At 40.6% G+C, this 19,184-nt stretch overlaps 1 long non-coding RNA gene across 1 annotated transcript, besides 2 other annotated features; it reads right to left on the bottom strand.

Moving 5' to 3' along the window:
- Positions 1 to 5,288: 5,288 nt before the first annotated feature.
- LOC105378793 (uncharacterized) lies at positions 5,289 to 17,805 on the bottom strand. The gene is made up of 3 exons (XR_947499.2): positions 17,396 to 17,805; positions 8,586 to 8,754; positions 5,289 to 5,484 (listed from the first exon to the last, which is right to left on the bottom strand). It is a non-coding gene; the product is annotated as an uncharacterized LOC105378793 (long non-coding RNA).
- Positions 6,270 to 7,076: an enhancer, noted in NCBI's record as "NANOG-H3K27ac hESC enhancer chr1:70925492-70926298 (GRCh37/hg19 assembly coordinates)". NCBI's record gives its function as "activates a minimal SCP1, AML or CMV promoter by ChIP-STARR-seq in naive H9 embryonic stem cells {active_cell/tissue: H9 hESC(naive)}" and the evidence as "EXISTENCE:reporter gene assay evidence [ECO:0000049][PMID:30033119]".
- Positions 7,792 to 7,992: a silencer, noted in NCBI's record as "peak283 fragment used in MPRA reporter construct". NCBI's record gives its function as "represses an SCP1 promoter by STARR-seq MPRAs in K562 erythroleukemia cells {active_cell/tissue: K562}" and the evidence as "EXISTENCE:reporter gene assay evidence [ECO:0000049][PMID:32103011]".
- Positions 17,806 to 19,184: the final 1,379 nt, after the last annotated feature.

Raw genomic sequence — 19,184 nt, 5'->3', positions numbered from 1 at the left:
TTTTTAATTACCCAGGAAGTGTAGTATGGATTTGTTAATTAATATTTACTATGTACTTCAAGATTCCACCAGAAACTAGATTCTGGGTACAAACTACAGAAAATAAGGGTGTTTACATAAGAAATTTATAAGACTGTTTCATTTCAAGTGGTTTCCTTATTTTTTTCTTTTTTTTTTCCATTTGTTTGTTTTGTTTCTTGGGTTTTTGTTTTTTTGGGGTTTTTTTTGGCTTTAGCTGTGGACAAGTTTCCTTTGTACAGGCATTTTAGAACTATCACTACCACTTTTATAATGTTACTCAACTAACATTTATTTTGTGTGGCTTGTAGTTGGACCTTACACTGTTATGGAAATAAGTTCAACATTAATCTTCTGATTCTGTGTACAAGTAGGTCAATTGCATGATGAGATGCGTGGAAAGAAGAGCTTTTTATCTGGATCATGAAAACTTAAGAAAACAGATGCTGTTTTTAAAAAATGAAAAAAGATAAATAAAATAAATAATTGAGCTGATATCCTTCATAGAAAAGTATTCTATCTTAAAATAAGATTTGTGATCTCAGTGTATTAATTATCAAGGTCTGAAATAAATATGGGAATGCTTGCATTTAAAAATAAATAAAATAAAAGACTTTTTTTCCTTTAAGCTCTGTTGGACTTGAAAAATAGACTGTTAATAAGAAGTTGATACTTAAAAGACTGCACTTTGAGTAAGTGAGTAATCAAAGACTGGCTTTGTAATAAAAGCCCTAGAGGAGAAAACTGACAGATCATATTATGTGGGATGAGACTCACATGGGACATACAGTACAGAACAGAATAAAGATAGCACTAGAGTAGAAATTGTTTCTCTGTTACAATAGATAGTGGGTTCTCAGCAAGAATAATTAGGGATTGTTTCTAAAATCACTGAAAATCCTTTAAAATCTGTTAGAGTAGTCTTTCCTTATCCATGAGGGGTACATTACAAAACCCTCCATAGATGCCTGAAACCACAGATAGCACGACACCCTAAAAACAATATGTTTCTTCCTATGCATACCTATGATAAAGTTTAATTTATAAATCAGGCACAGTAAGAGATTTACAACAATAACTAGTAATAAAATAGAGCAGTTTTAACAATATGCCAGCATCACCACTCTTGTGCTTTGGGGATATTATTAAGTAGTATAAGGCTTACTTGAACGTAAGAACTGTGATACATTGACAGTCGATCTAAAAACTAAGAGGGATAACAGAGTAGGCTACTAACTGACTAAGGGGAGGATTACAGACAGCATGAAGATGGTGGACAAGGAATAATGCACATCCTAAGCAGGACAGAGTTGGGCAAAGTGGGATACTGTGAGATTTCATCACACTATTCAATATGATGTGCAATTTAAAATTTACAGATTATTTCTGAAATTTTTTATTTAATATTTTTAGACTGTCATTGGCCACTAGTAACTGAAACTGGAAAGCAAAACCACATATAAGGGAGGACTATTGTATATGTAAGTACATGAGATAAGCATTTCTTGTTACTTAATCTGGGTTTATTTATTTGCAACAAACCATTTTATTATCTTTATGTTCCCTATTGGAGTTAGCAAAATAATGAAAGTCATCTTACTATGTGGTTGTAATCAGGAAACAGCCTATTTTGCAGTATTGTCTTGTAATATAGCTTATTTCCATCTTGAAATGGAACATATAATGCTAATTTACATTTTTTCATAGTGTATTCTTTAGAAAATGTGTCATTTAGTTTCAGGATAAAAGAGACAGTGTCTACGGAGAAGATGGGAAGTTAGATCCATGGTCCAGTAAATGCTTATTATAGCCCTCTCATAGAAATTGATAATGCACAGTTGCTTATTAAAGATGGAGAATTGCTGGAGTAAAGAAACCTCTTTAACTTTAGCATAGCATTTCTCAAATGTAATTGCTCAAGGAAAGGTTTTTTCACATAATATTATATAATACACCCAAAGACCTAATATGCATATTTCAAAAAACAAGCTTTGAAAAGAGTGTACTACATTGTGATAATTATATATGGAGTAAGATGCATGGAGTATGACCTCAATAAATGGGAACTATTTTCTCCCACCCCAAATTATAAACCTATTGAAGATGGAGACTGATGGTTTAATAACCAATATCTAGGATCAGGAGTATAATTTGAAATATCTTGATAGGATGACTTCTTGGGGGAGTCTATTTTCTTTCTTTCTTTCTTTCTTTCTTTTTTTTTTCAGAGTCTCACTCTGTCAAGCAGGCTGGAGTGCAATGGCACGATCTAGGCTCACTGCAACCTCCACCTCCTGGGTTCAAGATATTCTCCTGACTCAGCCTCCCAAGTAGCTGGGATTACAGGCACCCACCACCACGCCTGGCTAATTTTTGTATTTTTAGTAAAGACTGGGTTTCACCATGTTGGCCAGGCTGGCCTTGAATTCCTGACCTCAGGTGATTCACCCACCTCGGCCTCCCAAAGTGCTGGGATTACAGGTGTGAGCCACCACACCTGGCCTGGACTTACTCTTTTGAGTTAATGTTGGAATAATTTAAAACTTTGGGGGACTGCTGGTTTTGAAATGTGAAAAGGGCATGAGATTTGGGAGGGTCCAGGGGTGGAATGATGTGGTTTGGCTCTGTGTCCCCACCCAAATCTCATCTTAAATTGTAATCCCCACTTGTCAATGGAGGGACCTGGTAGGAAGTCATTGGATCATGGAGGCGGTTTCCCCATGCTATTCTCATGATGGTGAGTGAGTTCTCATGAGAGCTGACAGTTTTAAAGTGTGGCACTTCCGGCCGGGCGCAGTGGCTCACACCTGTAATCCCAATACTTTGGGAGGCCGAGGTGGGTGGATCATGGGTCAGGAGTTCAAGATCAGCCTGGCCAACATGGTGAAACCTGGTCTCTACTAAAAATACAAAAATTAGCCAGGGGTGGTGGTGGACACCTGTAATCCCAGCTACTTGGGAGGCTGAGACAGGAGAATTGCTTGAACCCAGGAGGCAGAGGTTGCAGTGAGCTGAGATCACACCACTGCACTCCAGCCTGGGTGACAGAGCAAGACTCTGTCTCAAAAAAAAAAAAAAAAAAAAGTGTGGCACTTCCTCACTCTCTCTCTCTCCTGCTGCCATGTAAGATGCACCTTGCTTCTCCTTCACCTTCTGCCATGACTGTAAATTTCCTGAGGCCTCCTCAGCCATGTGGAACTGTGAGTCAATTAAACCTCTTTTCTTTATAAATTACCTAGTCTCAGGTAATATCTTTACAGAGGCTGGTAAAATCAAAAGCAAGTTAATTACTTCCAAGACAAAATGGGGGTACAGGCGTTGGGTGAATGTTCCCATTTCAAATGGGAGAAATTGGTCAAAACAAAGGGGCCACAGGCCTCATACAAGTTCAAAACCCAGCTGCGAAGTCATTAAATCTTAAAGCTCCAAAATCTGCTTTGACTCCATGTCTCACATCCAGGGCACACTGTTGCAAGGGTAGGGCTCCCATGGCCTTTGGCAGCTCCACCCCTGTGCCTCGGCAAGGTACAGGCCCTGCGGCTGCTTTCAAAAACTGGCATTGAGTGCCTGCAGCTTTTCCAGGTGCATGGTACAAGCTATCAGTGGATCTACAGTGCTGGGGTCTGGAGGATGGTGGCCCTCTTCTCACAGCTCCAGCAGTGTCCCCGGGGGGACTCTCTGTGAGGGCTCAAACCACACATTTCCCTTCCATTGAGGTTCTTCATGATGACTCCACTCCTGCAACCGACTTCTGCCTGGCCATCGAGGCATTTTCACACATCTTCTGAAATCTAGGTGGAGGCTTCCAAAGCTCAACTCTTGTGTTCTGCACACTGCAAGCCAAACGCAACATTAAAGTTGCCAAGGGTTGGGGCTTGCACCCTCTGAAGCAACAGCCTGAGCTGTAACTTGGTCCCTTTTAGTCACAGCTAGAGCTGGAGCAGCTGGGATTCAGGGCACCAAGTCCCAAAGTTGCACAGAGCCATGTGGGCCCAGCCCACAGAGCTATTTTTTCTTCCTCCTAGGCCTCCAAGCCTATGATGGGAGGGGCTGCCATGAAGATCTTTGACATGCCCTGAAGGCGTTTTCCTTATTGTCTTGGCTATTAACATTCAGCTCCTCAGTTACTTATGCCAATTTCTGCAGCCAGCTTAAATTCTTCCCCAGAAAATGGGTTTTCCTTTTCTACCACATGGTCAGCCTGCAAATATTCCAAGGCTTTATGCTCTGTTTCTCTTTTAAACATAAGTTCCAATTTCATACCATCTCTTTGTGAATGCATATAATTGAATGCTTTCAGAATAAGCCAGGTCACTTCTTGAATGCTTTGCGCTTAGAAATTTCTTCTGCCAGGCTGAGCGCAATGGCTCACACCCATGATCCTAGTAGTTTGGGAGGCCAAGGTGGGTGGATTGCCTGTGCTCAGGAGTTCGAGACCAGCATGGGCAACATGGTGAAACCCCATCTCTACTAAAAATACAAAAAATTAGCCAGGCATGGTGGCGCACACCTGTAGTCCCAACTGCTGGAGAGGCTGAGGCACAAGAATTGCTTGAACCCGGGAGGTGGAGGTTGCAGTGAGCCAAGATTGCACCATTGCACTCCAGGCTGGGTGACAGAACAAGACCCTGTCTCCACAAAAAGAAAACAAAAGAAAAGAACGGAAAATTTCTTCTGCCAGATACCCTAAATCATCTTTCTCAAGTTCAAAGTTCCACAGATCTCCAGGACAGGGGCAAAACGCTGCCACTCTCTTTGCTAAAGCATAGCAAGAGTGACCTTTGCTCCAGTTCCCAATAAGTTCCTCACATGTATCTGACATCACCTCAGCCTGTACTTCATTGTCCATATTGCTATCAGCATTTTGGTCAAAATCATTCAACAAGTCTCTAGTAAGTTCCAAACTTTCCCACATCTTTCTATCTTCTTCTAAGCCCTCCAAACTCTTCCAACCTCTGCTCAATACCCAGTTCCAAAGTCACATCCACATTTCCAGGTTATCTGTGTAGAAGTACTCCACTCCTGGTACCAATTTTCTGTATTAGTCTGTTTTCACACTGCTATAAAGATACCACCTGAGACTCGGTACTTTATAAAGAAAGGAGGAGGTTTAATTGACTCACAGTTCAAATGGCTGGGGAGGCCTCAGGAAACATACAATCATGGTGGAAGGCAAAGGGGGAGCTGGACTTTTATGTAAAAAAATTATATAAAAAAAATTTAATGACTGCCCTGCAGTCATTAAAAATTAAAGCTCCAAAATAATCTCCTCTGACTCCAATCTGGGACACAGTGACGCAGTGTGTGGGCTCCCAAGGCCTTGGCAGCTCCAGCCCTGTGGCTTTGCAGGATTCAGCCCCAGCAGCTGCTCTCAAGGTCTAGCTTTGAGTGCCTGCAGCTTTTGCAGGCACATGGTGCAAGCTGCCAGTGGATCTACCATTCTGGGGTCTGGAGGATGGTGGCCCTCTATGGGGAAAAGAAAGAGAGATCAGACTGTTACTCTGTCTGTGTAGAAAGAAGTAGACATAAGAGACTCCATTTTGTTCTGTACTAAGAAAAATTCTTCTGCCTTGAGATGGTATTAATCTGTAACCCTACCCCCAACCCTGTGCTCCCTGAAACATGTGCTGTGCCAACTCAGGGTTAAATGGATTAAGGGCTGTGCAGGATGTGCTTTGTTAAACAAATGCTTGAAGGCAGCATGCTCGTTAAGGGTCATCACCACTCCCTAATCTCAAGTACCCAGAGACACAATACACTGCGGAAGGCCACAAGGACCTCTGCCTAGGAAAGCCAGGTATTGTCCAAGGTTTCTCCCCATGTGATAGTCTGAAATATGGCTTCATGAGAAGGGAAAGACCTGACCATCCCCCAGCCCGACACCCGTAAAGGGTCTGTGCTGAGGAGGATTAGTAAAAGAGGAAGGAAGGCCTCTTTGCAGTTGAGATAAGAGGAAGGCATCTGTCTCCTGCTCATCCCTGGGCAATGGAATGTCTCGGTGTAAAGCCCGATTGTATATTCCATCTACCGAGATAGGGGAAAACTGCCTTAGGGCTGGAGGTGGGACATGCTGGCAGCAATACTGCTCTTTAAGGCATTGAGATATTTATGTATATGCACATCAAAAGCACAGCACTTTTTTCTTTACCTTGTTTATGATACAGAGACATTTGTTCACATGTTTTCCTGCTGACCTTCTCTCCACTATTACCCTATTGTCCTGCCACATCCCCCTCTCCGAGAAACGCCCGATAATGATCAATAAGTACTAAGGGAACTCAGAGACTGGTGCCGGCGTGGGTCCTCCGTATGCCGAGCACCGGTTCCCTGGGCCCATTTTTCTTTCTCTATACTTTGTCTCTGTGTCTCTTTCTTTTCTTAAGTCTCTCATTCCACCCGACGAGAAACTCCCACAAGTGTGGAGGGGCAGGCCACCCCTTCAGCCCTCTTCTCACAGCTCCAAGAGGCAGTGCCCCAGTGAGAACTCTGTGGGGCCACCAACCTCACATTTTCCCTCTGCACTTCCCTAGTAGAGGTTCTCCATGAGGGCTCTACCCCTGCAGCAGTCTTCTGCCTAAACATCCAGGCTTTCCCATACATTTCAGATACATCCTCTGAAATCTAGGCAGAGGCTCCCAAGCCTCAACTCTTGTACTCTGTGCATCAGCCAGCTTAATACCATGAGGAAACCAGCCAGGCTAATCACTTGCATTCTCTGAAGCAGCAGACAAGCTATATCTGGGCCTCTTGGAGCCATGGCTGAAGCTGGAGAGGCCAGGATGCAGGGAGCTATGTCCCAAGGCTGCACAGAGGAGCAGGGCCCTGAGCCTGGCTCATGAAGCCATTCTCCTCTCCTAGGCCTCCAGGCCTGTGATAAGTCATGAGTCATCTAATGTGGTTTTAGGAAGTACAATCTTGGTCAGGCATGGTGGCTCACTCCTCTAATCCCAACACTTTGGGAGACCAAGGCAAAAGGATCACTTGAGCTCAGGAGTTCAAGACGAGCCTGGGCAACATAGCAAATCCTCGTACCTACTAAAAAAAAAATAATTAAAAAAAATAGCCAAGCATGATGGCACACACCAGTAGTCCCGGCTACTCAGGAGTCTGAGGTGGGAGGATCCCTTGAACCTGGGAGATCAAGGCTGCAGTGAGCTATGATTACACCACTGTACATCAACCTGGTTACAGACTGACAGCCTGTCTCGACAAACAGTAAAAATCTCAGGAAAAAAAACAAAAAGGCTCTAAAAAGGAAAGAAGTTATTCAAGCAGCCATAAGAAGATTCCTGAGATTAGAAAGGTAAAAGTTAATTATAATGGGCAGGATATCACCAAAGAAATAAATTATATTTCACAAATGTTTATTGATAAACTGAACTTACATTTCAATTTGCACCTGGTGTCTTAGTATAACTACTAACTGCATACCTTTTTGTTCCCAGAAGTGTCTCACTTTGGATAATGAATTATGTGGGGACACCCTACCATGTGCCAGGTGTACTAAGCAGTAACAGAAAATGAATATAAAAATTATTTACATTAATGATTTAATATTGGGGTATTGAGTCAAAAAAAGGCATGTGTCTTGCCATCAGAAAAGTGCTTCATTTCATTACAGAGGCAAGAAGAATATGTCTGAAAGAATCTGAAAGCAATAAAACGCTTTTTCTAGTTTAAAGTCAGTGTTAGGTAGAGCAAATAAACTGCAGGAAAAAAAAAAAAAAAACAGGAAAGGGGAGAGGGCAGAATGAACTAGAGGAATTAGGAAAAGCAGATAGACACATCTGCAAATTGATACCCAGAACCTAAGCTTGAATCCCTTTGTCATTGAGTGGAAAATGGGTGCATACAAACATGACTGACTACAAGCTAGTGATCTTTAGTCTGCCGCTCTGGCAGCAAGGTAACCAAGACTACATCCCTCAAAGGAGTCTTAATTTTTTAACCAGTTTCTTCAGAAGATATTTCTTAGAAGATCAGATATTGCCTTCATATGAAATATTCCCCAAGACTTTTTTCCCATCTCTTTCAGACCATCAATGTAACATATTTGGAATTTTATTTATTTATTTCTCTAAGAACATTTTAACTTCCAGAGAAGGGCAAGTTTGGGTGTCTGCAAAACTAAACTGTAGGACCACTTTGCTCTCAACACCCTTTCCATGTTGAGAGGAGCTTCTGGCCCTTGCTCTCTGCTTTATTTTTCAGCATTTTTCAACAATCGCCTGCTGCACAACAGCATACTAAGTTCAGTTTGCCCCAAGTGCAATAAGGGTTTTAAACTGTGCTAGTTTTCTAAAAAGTAATTCATTTTTAACAGGTCTTATTTCTGAGTAAACCCACAGAAGAGCAGTTATGGGCAAATAAAAGCAGATTTTATTTAACATTCTGTGAAATCTGGCAGCCTGGGAAGAAGATGCATGCTGGGCCTGGCACAGAACTCCACAGTCAGTTTCCATAGGGAAAGAAGATGAATAACCCAATGCAGTCAACCCCTCTGTGAGCACAGAAGTAATGAACAAAAGATTCATTTCATGTGGGTGCTTCACACACTTTCTACTGACCTCATGCAGCAACTTCAAAGGACTTCTCTGTTCAGAGTAATTATCTGCAATTTGCAGAGTAGCACACAGTCTTCTCACAGATTGTACACTTCCCTTCAGACCCCAAGCTGGCTGGATGTGAACATGACAACACTTCATTTCTAGACCAGAAACAGCTTCCTGATCCAGCCTACAAAAAAGGAAGGAAAATATTTTAAATTAAAGTCTTTCCAAAGAGCTATGTCCTTGGTGTTGGCATGCTACTCACCGTGATCCAAGAGCCCAGGTAAGTACAACTTGAAATTAAAAGAAAGCCCTAATGATCAGATCACTAAAATACGATCCTTTTATAAGAGCAGCTCATATATTAACAAATCAATCCTAATGTTTTATAATATAGAATAAACTGAAAACTGGTGGTATGAATTGAGTTATTTTTGTCATACCCAAGTGAATCGGAATGGAGGAACCAGGGGAAAAAGCACTCAGGGTACATAGCACCTGCTTCAAGAATTCTCCTGCAAGCTCAGCTGCTGAAATGGCCTGTGCAATGTAAGACCATTTTTACCTAGCAGCTACCTAAATGACCTGCCATGACTCTAAGGTTAGTTTTTCCTACTGCCATCATTCACCAGAGCTTGCCAGCTCCCAGAAACTTCACTACTGCCAGTAAGCTCCTTACAAAACAATATGTAACATGTATCTTTCTAATAAAACACTCAACCTTCTCTTTGTTCTTCAGATATACTAAAAACCACACCAGGCTGTTTGTATACCACAAATTGCAACTCTATTTTCTCAAATTAAACCTTTTGTGTATAGATTTGTCTCTACATTTTTATTTGACTTTGACAAAACTAACTGATGAAATAGTAACTTTCTATCACATAAGTTTTTTTAAAACAGCAATATTTTTAACAAACCACTTGATTCTTCATGTAATCAATTTCTGTCTATAAAACAAAATATGATTCACATTTTTTTCAAGGCAATAAGATGTTTCTTCTGTCTTTTTTTTTTTTTATGAGATGATGTCTCACTGTGTTACTCAGGCTTGTCTCGAACCCCAGGGCTCAAGTGGTTGTCCCACCTCATCCTCCCAAAGTGCTGGGATTACAGATATGAGCCACCATGACAAGCTGGAAAATGTCTTAAAAAAAAAAGATAAAATATATAAGGACTTCTAGGATCCTCTCTAGTCATAATATGCTATCTGTTATATAGGAATTTTGATCATTTAGTATATCTTGTTGATATGGTTTGGTTGTGTCCCCACCCAAATCTCATCTTGCATTGTAGCTCCCATAATTCCTGTAGGTCATGGGAAGGGCCTGGTGGGAGACAAATGAATCACGGCGGCAGGTCTTTCCAAAGCTGTTCTCATGATAGTGAATAAGTCTCATGAGATCTGATGGTTTTATAAATGGGAGTTCCCCTACACAAGCTCTCTTGCCTGCCACCATGTAAGATGTGACTTTACTTCTCCTTTGCCATTTGCCATGATTTGTGAAGCCTCCCCAGCCATATGGAACTGTGAGTCCATTAAACCTCTTTCCTTTATAAATTACCCAGTCTTGGGAATGTCTTTATTAGCAGTATAAGAACAGACTAATACACCTGTTAAATGGTATGAAAAGTGTATGGTGGCTCTTAACCACTGTGAATTGACTTTCCTAGTATTTTTAGTTTTTACTTTTAATTATCCAATGTATCTTTATATCTAAATTCTAAGGATAATTGTTAAATTTCTACCACCATCTATTTTAGGTAGAACTGACTTGAAACTAAGCAAAACAAAAAATTATACACAGAACTTTTCCTCAATAGATTGTTTTAATTAGTACTAATTTTTGTTTGTTTGTTCGAGATGCAGTCTCGCTGTGTCACCCAGGCTGGAGTGCGGTGGCGTGATCTCAGCTCACTGCTAGCATGATCTTGGCTCACTGCAACCTCCACCTCCCAGGTTCAAGTGATTCTTCTGCTTCAGCCTCCCAAGTAGCTGGGACTACAGGCATGCACCACCACACCTGGCTAATTTTTTAATTAATACTGATTTTTAATCAGAGTATTATGTTTACAAAATTTTTTTAGGTTTATGCAGAGCTAAAAGGCTTACCACAATAACAAAATAATAGCTCCAAGTTCTACTTGCCTGCCAACCTTGTTGTCCTACTTGCAGTTTTAACATTTCTTTAATATTACTTTTAAAACTCTAAATGGTATGTGTGTATCACTATCTCTCAATTCATCACATTTTAGTTATTTACTAACTTTCCAATATGGTAAATTATTTCACTCACCATCTTCCCCTTCTTCTATTCCTCCCAATATAATTCTTTCTCTCCTTCTCTTTCTGTCTCATTTAAAGCCAAACACAGAAGTTTCATTCTTATAATTATGTAAATATTCATCACTGTTGAGTCAAGTGGAGTGTCATGACTACATTTACTTTCTTGTACAAATTTTTTTCATTTACTTTATTTCCCACACACTCCAACACTTTCTATAAAATGCCTTGCATGGCCAGGTGCAGTGGCTCACACCTGTAATCCCAGCATTTTGGGAGACTGAGGCGGGAGGATTATGTGAGCCCAGGAGTTTGACACCAGCCTGGGCAATGAAGTGAGACCCTGTCTCATTTACATATGTATATAGAAAGAACTACAGTCTTGAGGAAACCAACTCAAGACCAATATGTTCTGTGATGTAGATTTCCTAGAGACGTAGTTGTTGTTAACTACAGAAAGAACCCCATGAAGATAAATAGGGGTAGAGACATAAAAATTGGAAGATAACCAGAATAAAGCCATCTGGTAGTGATATTGCCAAACGTCATCTAGACAATAATTGGACATCTGTTTAATGACCTCTGAGAGCTCCAGGGAATGTTTCTTTTCTGCTACTAAAGAAGGATGTCACTAATCACATTGCAAGTAGCCCTGAGTATGTCCAGAGGAAGGATTTTCTAGTTAAGCAGAAAGTTTTTTGAGCTTTCACATTAAATTAGGCTTATATTAGAGGGGCTACAAGAATTAAAATATTTGCAAATGTATAGAATACCTAATCCAATCCTGCAAAACTGTTTTATGCATACGAGAGAGAGAGAGAAAATAACAGAGACAGAGACAGAGAAAAAAAATAATAGAGATAGAGACAGAGAAAGAAACAGAGAGACAGAGAAAATAATAAAATCTATTTTAAACCTCCTTCTCCAGAAATGGAGTTATCATAGTCCTCCATTCAAAAAGAATTTTTGTTAAGTTTCTAAGTGACATCTAACACATGAGAGAATAAGACAAGGCCCTTGTGCACATGCAGCCTACAGACTAGTATAAAGACTAGACCCGGCCTGATCAGGCCAGGTGTGGTGGTTCATACCTGTAATCCCAGCACTTTTGGGAGGCTAAGGTGGGCAGATCACTTGAGCTCAGGAGTTCAAGACCAGCCTGGCCAACATGGCAAAACCCCATCTCTACAAAAAATACAAAAATTAGCTGGGTGTGGTGGCATGCACCTGTGGTCCCAGCTATTCTGGAGGCTGAGAGAGAAGGATCACTTGAGCCCAGGAGGCGGAGGTTGCAGTGAGCTGAGATTGCACCACTGCACTCCAGCCTGGGTAATAGAGCAAGGCTTTGTATCAAAAAAAAATTATATATATATATATATACACACACACATATCTTTTATTACCTTGTCTCAAAATCAAATGCATCCTTTATAAGCCATAAGACTTTTAAAAAATACATATATATACATACATCTATATAGATACATATATATGTATCTGACCTTCTTCTCTCTTCTCACCTGCCCCAAGGCAGAACTCTTAACCGCACCCCCATCTTAAGACTGTCTGCAGAGAGAGTCCCACCCTATACACTGAGGGAAGGAATGCTTGTCTTGAAGTTTCCATAAAAACCCATGGGGACTGGGTTCAGAAAGTTTCCAGATAGCTGAACACGTGGAGGTTCCTGAAGGCTGGTGTGCCCCCAGAAGGCATCTATATATGTATAGATACATATATGTATCTATCTATATAGATGTATATATATATGTATCTATCTCTATAGATGTATGTATATATGTATCTATCTATATCTATCTATGTATCTATATATGTGTATATGTATCTATATATAGATATATATCTATATATGTATCTATCTATATATATGTGTGTGTGTATCTTTTTTTAAAGTCTTCTTTATGGCTTATACAGGATGGATTTGATTTTGAGAGCTGGTAATAAAAGCAAGGAAGGAAAATTCTGATTCAAAGAAAAGAAAAGCAGTGCTTCTCACCAGTCAAGAGATTTTTCAATTTTGAGGCTCTTAATGTATTTTTTAAAAGTAAAGAAACGCAAAAATACTAGTTTACAGAATAGCATTGTTTATGTCTCTATTCCATTTGAAAATAATGAAGTCTAAATTTAAAACGCTTTTTGAATGAAACTCCCAGGACAAATGGTCTTTTTGACTTCCCATCATCACTCACCCCAGATAGATCCTGAGATACAAAAGCAAAGAGAGACAATGTCATAAGGCACATTCAGAGGAAATAAATGTGATCTTGATTACAGAAATAGACAAGACAGGTATGTGGGGTTTTTTTTTCTACAGGGTTAAAAAAACATTTAACAAAGTTCTTTTAATATAAAGGACACACAAAAAATGTGATTTGTTAACTGCTTAAAAGCATTTATCTATGCCCCTCATGTATCACATATCACTCACCTTGCCAGTTGTAATAATAATTTATCTTCTTAGCAAACTGTGGTATTATTATATATGTTGGTTTTTGTCCATGGTACCTAGCTTACAACTCCCATAGCCCTTTTTACAGTCTTTTGTTATAACGTTGGGTATGTTAGGCCTCAGAAAACAAGAATTTCTCTGACCTTCTTCCCTCTTTTCACCTGCCCCAAGGCAGAACTCTTATCTGCACCCCCATCTTAAGACTGTCTGCAGAGAGGGTCCCACCCTATACACTGAGGGAAAGGAATGCTTGTCTTGAAGTTTCCATAAAAACCCATGGGGATGGGGTTCAGAATTTTCTAGACAGCTGAACGCATGGAGGTTCCTGAAGGCTGGCATGCCCCCAGAGGGCATGGAAGTTGCGTGCCCCGTCCCACATACCTTACCTTATAAAGGTATACATGTCTTCATCTGTATCATTTGTAATATCCTTTACAATAAACCAGCAAACTTAAGTGTTTTCCCTGAGTTCTGTGAGCCACTCTAGCAAATTAATCAAACTCAAAGAAATTGATTAATTCCAAAGAGGTGGGAGCTCCACCTTGAAGTTCCAAAGAGGTGGGAACCCCAACTTGAAGCCAGTCAGTCAGAAGTTCCAGAGGCCTGGAGTTGTGACTGGGTGTAAGGAGGAGGTGGTCTTGTGGGACTGATCCCTCAACCTGTAGGCTCTGATGCTATCTCCAGGGAAATAGTGTCAGAATGAAATTGGAGGATACCCAACTGGTGTCTGCTGCTTAGGTGTGGGGAAAAACCCACTCCTACTTTGGGAGGCCAAGGCAGGCGGATCACCTGAGGTCAGGAGTTCGAGACAAGCCTGGCCAATATGGGGAAACCCCATCTCTACTAAAAATACAAAAATAAGCCAGGTGTGGTGACGCATGCCTGTAATCCCAGCTACTCAGCTACTCAGGAGGCTGAGGCAGGAGAATTGCTCAAATCTGGAAAGCAGAGGTTGCAGTGAGCCAAGATCACACCACTGCACACTCCAGACTGGGTGACAGAGCAAGACTCAAAAAAAAAAAAAAAAAAAAAAGCTCCACTCCTTTGGTCATGGAAGGACTGTGTTGATGCTGTGGTGCTGTGAGAGCAGAGGGAAAATAGGGTTTGGCTGTGTCCCCACCCAAATCTCATCTTGAATTGTAGTTTCCATAATCCCTATGTGTCATGGAGGGACCCAGTGGGAGGTAATGGAATCATGGGGGTGGCTAACCCCATGTTGTTGTCATGACAGTGACTGGGTTCTCACAAGATCTGATGTTTTTATAAGGGGCTTTTCCCTCTTTGCTCAGCCCTTCTTCCTGCTGCCCTGTGAAGAAGGTGCCTTTCTTCCCCTTCCACCATGACTGTAAGTTTCCTGAGGTCTCCCCATTCATGCATAACTGTGAGACAATTAAACCTCTTTTCTTTGTAAATTACCCAGTCTCGGGTATTTCTTCAAAGCCTCGTGAGAACGAAGTAATACACATTGTGTGGGAGAATTTTTCTCTACATACAAACTGTTTTACAGATTTTCTCCCACATAAAGTTTTATTTCTTCAGTAAAAGTACATAATATCAAAGCACAGCATGACTTTTCTGGGAATGTTAGTAGATTCTGATGTCCCAAACACCAGCTGGTCTCTTCACTAAAAGTCTGACCAGGAGAGAAGAAATTGTTCTCTGAAGGAAGAAAGTTCATCTTCAATGACAAAAATATTAAATAAAAATTAACATAAGCCTGGGCAACATAATGAGACCCCATCTTTACAAAAAATAAAAAAGAAATTATTCAGACATGGTGGCACATGCCTGTAGTCCCAGCTACTCAGGAGGCTGAGGCGGGAGGATTGCTTGAGCCAGGGAGGTCAAGGCTACAGTGAGCCATGATTGCACCACTGCACTCCAGCCTCAGCCTCGGCAACAGAGCAAGACACTGTCTCAAAAAAACAAAAAGAAAAAAAAGAAAAGAAGAAAAATCAGCATATGTGCTGATACACCAGCTCATAAAAATCACTATTTCATATCTTATAAATCCTTTCTGTTTTACCCACTGTATTTCACACAAAATTCACCCCCTCAGCTTCTTCTCTGTGAATGTGGTCTCAGAAACAATCATAGCATTGTAGATCATGTTGGTGAACAAATCAAAGTTTGTCAGTCAGAGAAATTAGCAAATCAGTATTTCTCTAGACGTTAGAAGGGGATGGGTTGAAAAACGTTAAGCAAGAAATGTCAAATAAACTGGAAGTGAGAGAGGGCCAGCAAAGTCACAGTAAAAAAGCTCTGAAATATATTACATGAAGGTTTTACTACATATGAACAAATAAAAAATGAGAGCTGTGAATTCTACCTAAAAGCAGAGTGCCATCTGAAAGTGAAAGTGATGAAGATTCAGATAGTTTATATTTTTGTTTGCTTCAATATCTAAGCAATATCTTTTTATGTAATGCAGAATTAATTTGCCACTTCTTTGAAGTTTATAGAGAATGCATACTTAGTGGTCATTTTTTCATTATTTTCTCCATTGATGAAGTGAATGTAGAGAAACTCATATGTCAGACATGGTGCTCAGCACTTTACAAATATTATATCAGTTATTTTTCAAAATAATCCAGAGAAGTAGGTATTATCCCTACTTTAGAGATGAGGGAAAAGAGGAGATTACATAGTCTAAAGTTATATAACAAGTAAAACCAGGATTCAGGCTGGGCGCAGTGGCTCACGACTGTAATCCCAGCACTTTGGGAGGCCGAGGCAGGCAGATCATCTGAAGTCAGGAGTTTGAGACCAGCCTGACCAAAATAGAGAAACCCCGTCTCTACTAAAAATACAAAATTAGCCAGGCGTGGTGGCGCATGCCTGTAATCCCAATTACTCGGGAGGCTGAGGCAGGAGAATCGCTTGAACCTGGGATGTGGAGGTCGTGGTGAGCCGAGATCACGCCACTACACTCAAGCCTGATAGGCAACAAGAGCGAAACTCTCTCTCAAAAGAAAAAAAAAGTAAAACCAGGATTCAAATTCAGGCAGCATGGCTCCAGAATCCATACTCGTAACCTTAATTTGGTTTTTTTTAAATGTGTATTTTAGAGATAAACATAGCATGTGAGGTATGCTATAAGGTATACTTCACAGTATTACAAAATATGTAGTTTTACAAGTTAAAAATCAGTATATTTTATAATAATTATATTAAAATGGTATTTGGATCTATTTTTCCCTTCTATACAATATATTTTTCAGCAGCTCGGTGAATGAAGCAAGGAAAGGATTTCCAGATCTGAAAATTCTAATATTCCCTCCACAGTTATACCATTTTCTCCTTGAATTTAGGAAATCTGGCCTTTGGCATCCAGGTTAGAGAATTAAGCTGATGGTTTCAGGGTGGTTATCCCCCACCAAAATGGGGATTATAGTCTGAACAGCATAGCTCCTCCCTATCCCCAGGTGCCTTACTTCAATATAGAGGGTAGGTCCTGGCTGTTGCAGATCTGATGTGTAAGAAGAATCCACCAAGTTCTCAGGCATATCTTTAGACTCAGTTGACCTTGGAGATGACCTGGGCATAGGAAGGAAGTAGTACTGCAGGCCATTACCCCAACTTTGGTGAGGGATAACCAATCGAAAACAGAATCAGCTTGATTCTGTAATTTAGAGACCAGAGGCCAGACTAGAGAATACACGGCACTTTGTAAATCTTTCCAGAAGAACCTAAAGATTTAACACTGAGTCCACTCTCATTAGCCAGAACCCCATCCCTACCTTCTCCCAGCTATTTATAGACTCCTAGACTACTCCTAGAAAAAGAAAGACCTTCAAGTTTGCAGAAGCATTGAGGGCTCCTCCAGATTATGACCTTCTGCTAGGGAAAGAACTTTGACTTATAGGTGTAGACTACTTTAACAATTGTTTCTAAGCATTTGTAATCAAGGTGCTGTCTCTCCAAATTACCACTGCCTTACTTTTGTTCAAATTAGTTGCCATAAAATAAGAAAATATTAAAATTGGAAAGTGTGGTAAAGCAAAATAATGACTGTCCCCACCCCCTGCAAAGATGTTCACACCCTAACCCTCAGAGCCCATTGCTATGTGAACTTACGTGACAAAAGAAATTTTGCAGATGTGATTATGGTTAAGGATCTTGAGATGAAGATCATCTTGGATTATCTAAGCAGGCTCAACCTAACCACATGAGTTCTTAAAAGTGGAGAATCTTTCCAGCTGGATCAGAGAGAAGGCTAAAGGAGGAAAGATTCAAAGCATGAAAGGAAGTCGACTCGTTGCTGGCTTTAAACATGGGGGAAGGAGCCAGAAGATAAGGAATGTGATGGCCTTTAGAAGCTGAGAACAGCCCTCTGATAACAGCCATCAAGGTCATGGAGATCTCAGTCCCACAATCACAAGGAACTCAATTCTCCTATCGATCTAAATAAGCAAGGCAACTGGGTGTGGTGGTTCATGCCTGTAATCCCAGCATTTCGGGAAGCCAAGGCAGGCGGATCGCCTGAGGTCAGGAGTTCGAGACCAGCGTAGCCAACATGGTGAAACCCCATCTCTACTAAAAATACAAAAATTAGCCAGGCATGGTGGCAGGCGCCTGTAGTCTCAGCTACTCGGGAGGCTGAGACAGGAGAATTGCTTGAACCCAGGAGGCAGAGGTTACAGTGAGCCGAGATCGCGTCACTGAATTCCAGCCTGGGTGACAAGAGTGAGACTTCATCTCAAAAATATAAAAATGAATACATAAATAAATAAGCAAGGAAATAGACTCTCCCTTAGAGACTCCAGAGAGAAACAGTCTTGCTGATTTTAGTGCAGTGGAACCTGTGTGAGACTTTCAATTTACAGAACTACAAGACAATAAATTTGTGTTATTCAAGATAAGTTTGCAGTAATTTGTTACGGCAACAACAGAAAACAAATACAGAAGAGATTTTCAAGACATTTTTTTCAGTTCTAACACTCATTTTACCAGTGAGAAAATTGGATCCTAGTTATGCTGTAAAAAGTTCTTCTAACCCTATTCATTTGACTAGCATCTAGTCTGCCCTCAAAATTCGACTTGGATGTCTTTTCCTCTGTAAGTTTTCCCTGGCCCTCCAGGACTAGGTGTTCGTATTACATGGTCTCAAAACATTTCATGCATGCTTTAGCACACTGCCTATTTCTCTGAACTCCCTACTGGATTTTGAGGGCAAGGACTTTGTCTTACTCAACATGATATTTTTTTAGCTTAACACATCCCAGTAGTTATTATAGCTCAATAATCATTGAATGAAAAAATAATTAGCAGTTATAGCTCAACAAACATTCATTCATTCAATTCAACAAACATTGAATGTTTGTTGAGCTGTAACTCAATAAAATGATATATTTTTTGAGCTATAACTCGCTATAGCTAAAAAAATAAAAACACTCTCTCCCCTGAATACATTTTCCGTATGCTGTTAGAGTATTCTCTTAAAAGTGACCAAAGCATGGCAAACAGATTTGCAGCCCTGGAGTGGCAGTATAGCTTGTTTGCTAAGGACATGGATTTTGGAATCATACAAACCAGATTCATGCCGTGCTTCTACCAATTATTAAGTATATGGCCTTAAACAAGTTTCTTTCTTTCCTTTAGTGTTAGTTCCTCAGTTGTAATAATAACACCTGCCCCAAAGGATTGCATGAGAATTCACTGAAATGATGCTTATAAAATGTTTATCTGAGGCCAGGTGTGGTGGCTGACGCCTGTAATCCCAGCACTTTGGGAGGCCGAGGTGGGTGGATGATCTGAGGTCAGGAGTTCAAGACTAGCCTGGCCAAGATGGTGAAACCCCATCTCTACTAAAAATACAAAAATCAGCCGGGCGTGGTGGTGGGCGCCTGTAATCCCAGCTACTCAG

This window comes from Homo sapiens, chromosome 1 (genome assembly GCF_000001405.40).
Source record: "Homo sapiens chromosome 1, GRCh38.p14 Primary Assembly".
Classification (NCBI taxonomy): domain Eukaryota; kingdom Metazoa; phylum Chordata; class Mammalia; order Primates; family Hominidae; genus Homo; species Homo sapiens.
The sequence above is the reverse complement of the archived record's forward strand: the minus strand, read 5'-3'. Positions and strand labels throughout refer to the sequence as shown.